General features: G+C 47.7%; 1 protein-coding gene and 1 pseudogene across 2 annotated transcripts in view, besides 1 other annotated feature; both read left to right on the top strand.

The window, feature by feature from the left end:
- The window catches only part of GNG7 (G protein subunit gamma 7), a 191,476-nt gene that overhangs the window by 100,524 nt on the left and 80,079 nt on the right, over positions 1 to 10,873 (top strand). The window lies entirely within an intron of this gene.
- On the top strand, positions 6,880 to 7,152 carry RN7SL121P (RNA, 7SL, cytoplasmic 121, pseudogene; annotated as a pseudogene).
- Positions 9,213 to 9,714: an enhancer, noted in NCBI's record as "H3K27ac hESC enhancer chr19:2592455-2592956 (GRCh37/hg19 assembly coordinates)". NCBI's record gives its function as "activates a minimal SCP1, AML or CMV promoter by ChIP-STARR-seq in naive H9 embryonic stem cells {active_cell/tissue: H9 hESC(naive)}" and the evidence as "EXISTENCE:reporter gene assay evidence [ECO:0000049][PMID:30033119]".

The following is a 10,873-nucleotide window of genomic DNA, read 5'->3' as shown; positions in this document are numbered from 1 at the left end:
GAGACGGGGTTTCACCATGTTGGCCAGGCTGGTCTCGAACTCCTGACCTCAGGTGACCTGCCCATCTCGGCCTCCCAGAGTGCTGGGATTACAGGCGTGAGCCACTGTGCCCGGCTTCTAGTGCTTCTCCAGATCCTAGCAGACTTTCTTCCCCAGGGTGCCTCCACAGTGCTGCTTGCAGATTCTGGAAGGATCATCTGGGATTCCACTGCTCTCCTCCCCTCTCCTCTCCTCCCCTCCCCTCCCCTGTCTTCTCTTTTCTTCTTTCTGAGACAGGGTCTTACTCTGTGGCCCAGGCTGAAGTGCAGTGATGAAATCATAACTCACTGCAACCTCAGCCTCCTTAAGTGAGCCTCCCGCTTCAACCTCCCTAGTAGCTGGGACTACAGGCTCACACCACCATGCCCGGCTAATTTTTTTATAAAGACAGGGTCTCGCCATGTTGCTCAGGCTGGTCTCGAACTCCTGGGCTCAAGGGATCCTCCTGCCCCGGCCTCCCAACGTGCTTGGGATTACAGACGTGAGCCACCATGCCCGGCCTTCACTGCCTTTCTTTTCCTCAATAAAAATCTGACATCGGGGGATTGCATTGCTCTGTTACCCTTTCTTCAGGCACCTCTCTTTTCCTGCTGCCAAACAGTGGAGACAGGAAGCCAAAAAAAATTGCCCAGTCCTTGTTCCTGGGGAGCTCATTGTAGAGCAGGGGAGACAGACACGTATATTGCAAGCATGTACATGTATCTGCAATAGGCACGAGCCGCGCCGTGGCAGGACTGAGTCCACATGGCTGGGGAAACACACTGCCTGGTAACTGGAGGCTGGTCAGATAGTGGTTGAGCTGAATTGAGGAGTTACCTACTCTAGGGTTTACCTACTTGTGCCCCATGGTTTTTAGGGACAACAGGCATCCCAGCTGTACCCCGGGCCATCTGGATGGAACTAGAATGGATGCAAAGAACACAGCTTTGGAGTCAAGCAAACCTTCCTTAGTTCTATTTTTTACATAAGTAATAATTTGTTTTTGGAGATGGTGGCGGGGGGGAGGTCTCTCCTTGTCACCCAGGCTGGAGTGTAGTGGCGTGATCCTAGCTCACTGCAGCCTCAAACTCCCGGGCTCAAGCGATCCTACCACTTCAGCCTCCCAAGTAGCTGGGAGCACAGGCACACACCACCACAACTGCTTTATGTTTCTCTTTTTTATTCTCCTTCAGCCGTACTTTTCAGCTTTGAGGACTTGAGCAGGTTTATTACCATCTTGGATCGCATTTTCTCTTCTGTGAAGTAGAGAGAATACCTGTGTATTGGAGTTCTCAAAGTGTGGTCCAGGGACACCCAGGGGTTGGTCTCTGAGACCCTTTTGGTGGGGGACCACTAGGTCAAAACTGCTAAGATAGAAGCCAGGCACTGTGGCTCACACCTGTAATCCCAGCGCTTTGAGAGGTCAAGGTGGGTGGATCACCTGAGCTCAGGAGTTCGAGACCAGCCTGGCCAACATGGTGAAACCCTGTCTCTACTAAAAATTAAAAAAAAAAATTAGCCAGGTGTGGTGGTGGCGCCTGTAATCCCAGCTACTTGGGAGGCTGAGGCAGGAGAATCACTTGAACCCAGGAGGCGGAGGTTGAAGTGAGCTGAGATTGCGCCACTGCACTCCAGCCTGGGTGACAGAGCGAGACTCCATCTCACAAAAAAAAAAAAAAAAAAATGCCAAGATACTCTGGGTCTCCTTCCTCCCAGTCTCTCCCACACAGATGGTGGAGTTTTCAGAGGTTGCATGACGTTTGATATCACAGTGGATTGAACTCAGAGGCTTATACAAGAATCCAGCTGTCTTCTATTAAGCCAGACATGAAAGAAATTTGCAAAAATGTAAAACAATGCCACTATTTCCCCTCAATGTTTTTTTTTTTTGAAAAATAGTTACTTTTCACTTAAACGTGTCATCCTCCTAATATAAAATATATGGTTTAAAAAAATATTTAATGGGATTATGTTAACTTGTAACAGGAGTATAGCTAAAATCTACATAAACACAAGCTGTTTAAGGGCCTTAATTTTTTATTACCATATTTATGTATATATTTTGGCATCATATTTATATATATTTATTTTATATGACAGCTTTATTGAGATTTTTACATGCCATAGAATTCACTTTTTAAAGTGTACAATTCAGTGGTTTTTAGAATATCCAGAGTTGTGTAACCATTACCACAATCTAATTTTTTTTTTTTTTTGAGATGGAGTCTTGCTCTGTTGCCCAGGCTGGAGTGCGGTGGCGCCATCTCAGCTCTCTGCAACCTCCACCTCCAGGGCTCAAGCGATTCTCCTGCCTCAGCCTCCTGAGTAGCTGGGATCACAGGCCAGCACCACCACCCCCGGCTAATTTTTGTATTTTTAGTAGAGACGGGGTTTCGCCGTATTGCCCAGGCTGGTCTCGAACTCCTGACCGCAGGTGATCCGCCTGCCTCGGTCTCCCAAAGTGCTGGGATTACAGGCGTGAGCCACCGCGCCCGGCCTAACCCCCGGTTTTCATGCACCGTCTTTGATGTTGCCTTTAGGCCGTGCCTGAACGCCGGTGTCACAAACCAAAGCCACAATAACTCAACAGCTTCATGAAATACCCAAACTCCCCCAGCTCCTGTGACATCAGGCAGGCGGAGTGACGCGGCTGCATGGCAGGGCTGCCCGAGGGCCCCCCTCCCAGGTCCGCACCTCCACCTCCTGGAAACCCACCCGGGTGGGCGGTGCTTTCTCCCGCCGAAGTCCTAGAAATGCTCTTCCCCACCAGCTGGGTTTATTTGGATTCATCCAGCCTCGGCTGGGAGGAGGAAGGGGTGGGCCCTCCTAGTATTTATTCTGCTGGAATGGAAACCTCAGATCTTCGAGATACTCAAGCAGACAGACAGACATCTACCAAGTCAGCGAGGGGAAAGTGCGGTGTTTTCGGAGGTCAGCCCGGGACAGCAAAGCAGGCAGGCTGGGGCTCTGATCAGTTCAAAAAGCACCACGTGGTGTCTGCGGCGGAGCAACCAGCGGCACGCCCCCACCCCAGGCGTCCCTCCCACAAGCAAATAGCACAGCCCGGTGACATTGGCTTTTTCCAGCCGAGCGCGGGGCACCCGCTTCGCCTCGTGCCCGCCTCTCCCCCTCTTCATCATGGGCCCTCGGTGGAACTGTATGCTAGAAACTTCACTTTCCAATTTTGGAGATGCTTCTAGAAACTAGACTTCTTTCCAGCTTGAGGTGAGCTGGAAGTTAGATCAGTTTCCATTTCTTTCAACTGAAAACGTGATTACAGAAGTCAGTGTTTCATAAGCTTTCTTTTTCCGTGATCACCTTCTTTTGAGACATCCTTTTCCTAGTGGCTCCTTAGAAAGAATAACGGTGGCAAGAGATTTAAATGCACCCGATGTCTGATTCTTTTGACGGAAGATGCCCAAGTAGCATTATTATTATTATTATTATTATTATTATTATTATTATTATTATTATTTTATTACTTTTCATTTTTTTTGAGACGGAGTCTCGCTCTGTCGCTCAGGCTGGAGTGCAGTGGCGCGATCTCAGCTCACTGCAAGCTCTGCCTCCTGGGTTCACACCATTCTCCTGCCTCAGCCTCCCGAGTAGCTGGGACTACAGGCGCCCGCCACCACACCCAGCTAATTTTTTGTATTTTTAGTAGAGATGGGGTTTCACCGTGTTAGCCAGGATGGTCTCGATCTCCTGACCTCGTGATCCGCCCGCCTCGGCCTCCCAAAGTGCTGGGAGTACAGGCGTGAGCCACCACGCCCGGCCAATTCTGTATTTTCAGTAGAGATGTGGTTTCACCATGTTGGCCAGGCTGGTCTCGAACTCCTGACCTCAGGTGATCCGCCCACCTTGGCCTCCCAAAGTGCTGGGATTAACAGATATGAGCCACCGCGCCCGGCCGCCCACTAGTTTTGATTGTGAGTTCTTTTGGTCCTTGGTTTTCGTAAGCGTTGCTTCCTCCTCTGTAGTAGAGTAACAAGCATGCAGCGTAGAGTCGCCGTGAGAGCTGGATTCGGTCGTTGATGGACAGAGCCGAGTGGAGAGCCTGAGATGACTCAGTGCCACACAGGTGCTGCTCACACAGTTGTCCTGGTCATTGTCGTCTAACCACTGAAACTCCCTAGACTTTTCCTACACATGCACACTCACATAGATACGTACAGCAATATGGAGCGCATTGTACATTGGCAGTCCTGAGCTGCTTTTTACCTTTCTAAATTTAATTTCTTTTTTTTTTTTTTTTTTGAAACAGAGTCTCACTCTGTTGCCCAGGCTGGAGTGCAGTGGCGCAATCTCGGCTCACTGCAAGCTCTGCCTCCTGGGTTCACGCCATTCTCCTGCCTCAGCCTCCCGAGTAGCTGGCACTACAGGCGCCCGCCACCACGCCTGGCTAATTTTTTGTATTTTTAGTAGAGACGGGGTTTCACCGTGTTAGCCAGGATGGTCTCGATCTGCTGACCTCGTGATCCACCCACCTCGGCCTCCCAAAGTGCTGGGATTACAGGTGTGAGCCACCACACTCGGCCTTATTATTATTATTTTTGAGAAGGAGTTTTGCTCTTGTCACCCAGGCTGGAGTGCAGTGGCGTGATCTCGGCTCACTGCAACCTCCACCTCCTGGGTTCAAGCGATTCTCCTGCCTCAGCCTCCTGAGTAGCTAAGATTACAGGTGCCCGCCACCACGCCCAGCTAATTTTTGTATTTTTAGTAGACACGGGGTTTCACCATGTTGGCCAGGCTGGTCTCAAACTCCTGACCTTAGGTGATCCGCCTGCCTCGGCCTCCCACAGTGTTAGGATTACAGGCGTGAGCCACTGTGACTGGCCCCAAGTAGCATTATTATATAATGGAGTTTTTGTTTGTTTTTATCTTAGAGACAGGATCTTCTTTCTCTGTCACTCAAGCTGGAGTGCAGTAACGCCATCTCAGCTCCCTGCAGCAGCTTCCAACTCCCAGGCTCAAGCAATCCTCCCGCCTCAGTCACCAAAGCTGGGATAACAGGTGCACACCACCATGCCTGGATAATTTTTAAATTTTTATTCTTTCTAGAGATTGGGTCTTGCTATGTTGTCCAGGATGATCTTGAACTCCTGGCCTCAAGTGATCTTCCCACCTCAGCCTCCAAAAGTGCTGGGATTGCAGGTGTGAGCCACCGAGCCCAGCCTATACCTGTGAAATTTCAATATCATAGATAGACTGTGTATCTGTTTATGTTCTGTTTTCTGGGCTTAATCCATAAAAAAAGTAAAATTTGTTTTCATCTCCCCAAGAATTGATGTTCACCCTGTTGAGAATATATTTGTAAAGAAGTCTCGTACTGCAGGAGTGAGAATGGAGACATCTTCATCACAAATCTCACTCCCCAGAATTAACCACTGTTAACAGTGTGGGGTGGATGGGAACTGATCATCAGTGCAGAACGTGAAAGGAGAACAACTGGGTCGATATTTGCCCACTTTTTTTTTTGGGGGGGGGACAGGGTCTCACTTTGTCACCCAGGCTGGAGTGCAGTGGCATAATCATGGCTCACTACAGCCTCAACCTCTTGGACTCAAGCGATCCTCCCACCTCAACCTCCTGAGTAGCTGGGACCACAGGTGGATATCACTACACCTGCTTAATTTTTTTTTAATTTTAATTGAGACGGGGTCTCACTATGTTACCCAGGCTGGTCTGAAACTCCTGGGCTCAAGTGATTTTCCTGCCTCAGCCTTTCAAAGTGCTGGGATTGCAGGTGTGAGCCCCGCGCTGGGCCTGCCTACTATTTTTTATTTTAATTTTAGGGACCGACTCTCACTCTGTCGCCCAGGCTGCAGTGCAGAGGCACGATCTCAGCTCACTGCAACCTCCACCTCCTGGGTTCAAGCGATTCTCCTGTCTCAGCCTCCCAAGTAGCTGGGATTACAGGCATGCACCACCGCACCCGGCTAATTTTTGTATTTTCAGTAGAGATGGGGTTTCACCATGTTGGCCATGCTGGTCCCAAACTCCTGACCTCAGGTGATCCGCCCGCCTCGGCCTCTCAAAGTGCTGAGATTACAGATATGAGCCACCGCGCCCGGCCGCCCACTAGTTTTGATTGTGAGTTCTTCTGGTCCTTGGTTTTCGTAAGCGTTGCTTCCTCCTCTGTAGTAGAGTAACAAGCATGCAGCGTAGAGTCGCCGTGAGAGCTGGATTCGGTCGTTGATGGACAGAGCCGAGTGGAGAGCCTGAGATGACTCAGTGCCACACAGGTGCTGCTCACACAGTTGTCCTGGTCATTGTCGTCTAACCACTGAAACTCCCTAGACTTTTCCTACACATGCACACTCACATAGATACGTACAGCCATATGGAGTGCATTGTACATTGGCGGTCCTGAGCTGCTTTTTACCTTTTTAAATTTAATTTCTTTTTTTTTTTTTTTGAGACAGAGTCTCACTCTGTTGCCCAGGCTGGAGTGCAGTGGTGCGATCTTGGCTCGCTGCAAGCTCCGCCTCCCGGGTTCACGCCATTCTCCTGCCTCAGCCTCCCGAGTAGCTGGGATTACAGGCACCCGCCACCACGCCCGGCTAATTTTTTGTATTTTTACTAGAGACGGAGTTTTGCTATGTTGCCCAGGCTGGTCTCAAACTCCTGAGCTCAGGCAATCCACCCGCCTCGGCCTCCCAAAGTGCTGGGATTACAGGCATGAGCCACTGCACTCGGCCCTTAAATTTAATTTCCTTTCAGCCGGGCATGGTGGCTCACACCTATAATCCCAGCACTTTGGGAGGCTGAGGTGTGTGGATCAATCAACTGAGGTCAGGAGTTCAAGACCGGCCTGACCAACATGGCAAAACCCCGTCTCTACTAAAAATACAAAAATTAGCCGGACGTGGTGGCGGGCGCCTGTAATGCCAGCTACTTGGGAGGCTGAGGCAGGAGAATCGCTTGAACCCGGGAGGTGGAGGTTGCAGTGAGCCAAGATCACGCCACTGCACTCCAGCCTGGGCAACAGAGTGAGACTCCGTCTCAAAAAAAAAAAAATTTAATTTCTTTTGAGACAGGGTCTCGCTCTGTTGCCCAGGCTGGAGTGCAGTGGTGCCATCATGGTTCACTGCAACCTTGACCACCTGGGCTCAAGCGATCCTCCCACCTCATCCTTTCAAATAGCTGGGACTACAGGTACGTGCCACCATGCCCAGCTAATTTTTTTGTATTTTTTGTAGAGATGAGGTCTTGGTATGTTGCCCAGGCTGGTCTCAAACTCCTGTCCTGAAGCAATCAGCTCGCCTCAGCCTCCCAAAGGGCTGGGATTACAGACGTGAGCCACCACGCCGGGCCATTAAAGACATTTTTGAGATAATCATGGACAATGGGTCACAGGCTGGTTATTGGTAACAGGAAATTATTGTTGATAATCATGGAGCAAGTTGATAATAAGACAGTGTTAATTTGATTGGGTGGTTCTGTGTTGGGAAATCAGAAAGCTTCAGTGATTAGAGAACATTCTGAAGGTTCTACAGGCAAAGTCATATGATGTCTTGAATTTGTGTGAAATACCCGTGCAAAGCTGGAGAGAGAAGTGAGAACAGAAGAAGGGCAGAATGTTAATTCCCGTTGCAGGAGGTGACGACACTCAGAGAGACCTCGTCCTGGCCTGCGTGCTTCAGGCTGTGTTTGAAATTTTCCACTATATGTAATTTTTTAAATTTGCAGTTTCTTTCTTCCTCCTTCCTTCCTTCCTTCCTTCCTTCCTTCCTTCCTTCCTTCCCTCCTTCTTTCTTTCCTTCTTTCTTTCTTTCTTGAGGGAGTCTCACTCTGTCGCCTAGGCTGGAGTGCAGTGGTGTGATATCTCGGCTCACTGCAACCTCTACCTCCCAGGTTCAAGCGATTCTCCTGCCTCAGCCTCCCAAGTAGCTGGGACTACAGGTGCCCACCACCACACCCAGCTAAGTGTTTTGTATTTTTAGTAGAGATGGGGTTTCTCCATGTTGGCCAGGCTGGTCTCGAACTCCTGAGCTCAGGTGATCCGCCCGTCTTGGCCTCCCAAAGCGCTGGGATTACAGGCGTGAGCCACTGTGCCCGGCCTTGATTTGCAGTTTCTGTAAACAACTTGTATAATAGAAAAGCAGAGAAATAAATTTTCCTCCCCTTCAGAAGCACCTCATGTTTGTTTTAAAGTATAGTATTTAATCCAGATTTGAGAAGGTTTGGGGTGAATGAGGTAAGAAAGTTTTTTTTTTTTTTTGGCATCAAATATTTCGGCCTGCCTCTCAGCTTGCTTCAGAAAACTTAAAACATCACAATAGTAATCAAAACATATATAACATTGAAACAGAAGGAAATGGCATGGACCACAGAACTCCAAGGATTGTTTAAAAAAAAAAAAAAAGTGCTACCCCGGGAAAAGTATTTGCAATTTTTTTTTTTTTTTAGATGGAGTCTCACTCTGTTGCCCAGGCAGGAGTGCAGTGGCACAATCTCGGCTCACTGCAAGCTCCGTGTCCCAGGTTCAAGCGATTCTCCTGCCTCAGCACCCCTAGTAGCTGGGACTACAGGCAGCCGCCCCCATGCCCGGCTAATTTTTGTATTTTTAGTAGAGACGAGGTTTCGCCTTGTTGCCCGGGCTGGTCTCGAACTTCTGACCTCAGGTGATCCACCTACCTCAGCCTCCCAAAGTGCTGGGATTACAGGTGTGAGCCACCACGCCCAGTCCTACTCTTAATACTTTTGAAATCTTTAGAGCAGCTTGAAGGCTTGTAAATATATAGAACGAATATTTTAAAAAACAAAAATTGACTCAATACTATTTCTTTTCACTTTGAAAATATAAAGCACAAAATAAAGACAAACATTCCAAGTTTTTTTTTTAAAAAAGGAATTTTCCACTATACATTTTTAAGAGAGGCAGAGATTAAGAACAACATCAGGCCGTTGGTGACCAAGACCAGAAGCCTCTCCCCTCAATCTGGGTGGCCACAGGCCACTTCTCACCACCCGGTGCCCTGTCCTCTTTGAAGTTTTTAGTCTGTGCTGGATTTTCTTACTTTTTTGTGACCTCAGCTGTTGGTTAGAAAGAGTATGCATTTTCTTTTCTTTTTTTTTCCTCCCTCCCTCTCCTTCCTTCCTTCCTTCTTTCCTTCCTTCCTTTTCTTCTTTCTTTTTTTCCCTTCTCCTTTCCCCTCCCTCCGTCCCTCTCTCCCTCCCTCCCTTTCTTTCTTTCTTCCGTCCTTCCTTCCTTCCTTCCCTCCCTCTCCTTCCTTCCTTCTTTCCTTCCTTCCTTCGTTTTCTTCTTTCTTTTTTTCCTTCTCCTCTCCCCTGCCTCTCTCCCTCTCTCCCTCCCTCCCTCTCTCTCTCTCTCTTTCTTTCTTTCTTTCTCTCTTCCCTCCCTCCCTCTCCTTCCTTCCTTCCCCTCCCCCTCCCCTCCCCTCCCCTTCCTTCCCTCTCCTTGTTGCTCTGTCACCCAGGCTGGAGTGAAACGATGCAATCATAGCTCACTAGAGCCTCGACCTCCTGGGCTCAAGCAATCCTTCTGCCTCAACGTCCTGAGTAGCTGGGACCATGGGCACATACCAGCACACCTGGATGCTTTTTAAAAATTTTTTCTAGAGATAGGATCTTGCTATGTTTCCCAGGCTGGTCATGAACTCCTGGGCTCAAGCGATCTTCCTGCCTCAGTCTCCCAAAGTGCTGGGATTACAGGCATGAGCCACTGCACCTGGCCTTTGTTCATTTCTTTCATCCAGTCTTGCTTGGGTTTTAGAGGAGGAGAGATTTAAAGTGATGTTTTCTGCCACATTGCTAGAAATAAAAATGCTGTGATAGAAGGAGCAATTTTTTTTTAATGTAGCAACTCTACTTTTCAGCCTTTTGAAAAATGTTAAGAGTTGTTTTTGGTTGCCATTTTTTGTCAGTGTGATCAGTGAGCTTCATTCTTTTTAGTTAGCGCGTTCTTGTGTATGGATATGCCAGAGTGACTTGAAGAACACACTACTGATCTTTACAGTTTTTCTTACATCCAAATAATGTTGCAGCAGAAACATCATGGTATACATCACTTTTGACCTTGTCTAAATATCTCAGGAGGTAAATTCCTAAAAGCAGAAATGCAGCTTTAGAAGATAGTGGCATTTACAATTCTGTTAATCATTGACGAATAACCTTCCACAAAGTTTATAGCAACTTGAACTCCTGTCAACAGTGAGTGAAAATGCCAGTTCCCCCACAGCCTTGCCATAATGGTTATCAACTGAATTTAAAAGTTTTGCCAGCCAGTTATGTGAAATTAGTGTCTCTTTGGTGTTATAATATTCATTTATTTGGCCATCAGTGAGATCAGTCACCTATTCCTTTCTTTTCTGATTGTTAGTATCTTTGCACTAAGTACCTCTGTATATCTTCTATTTGGCTATTGAGTTTTTCTTATTGATTTGTAGGTGCTCTTTACATATGACAGGCACTAACACTTTGTTACATATGCTACATATTACTATTTTCTTCCAGTTTGCTATGTGCCTTTTTACTGGCTTTGTGGCTCTCCTCCATCCTAACACACCCATTGTAGAAGAGAGCTTCCTTTGGGCTGGAGCCTTGGGATAGACTTTCCCCCAACTTTGGTTCTTTGGTTGAACAGCCTCAATAGGGAGTTTGGAAACAGACAAACTCAAGGCCACACACTCAGTCCCCTATAATCTCTCCCTTAAAAAAAAAAAAAAAAAAAAAACCCTTTATTTTCAAATTACGAAAACAGTGACATACTAGAAAATCTTAAAAATACCAAAAGGTTTAAAGAAAGGGATGGAAATCATCCTGCATGCATTATTGCCATCTTACAAGAGAGGAAACAGAGAGGAGGCGGAGTAGTATGTTGGCAAATAGT

This window comes from Homo sapiens, chromosome 19, assembly GCF_000001405.40.
Source record: "Homo sapiens chromosome 19, GRCh38.p14 Primary Assembly".
Lineage (NCBI taxonomy): Eukaryota > Metazoa > Chordata > Mammalia > Primates > Hominidae > Homo > Homo sapiens.
This window is presented reverse-complemented; position numbering and strand designations above follow the sequence as displayed.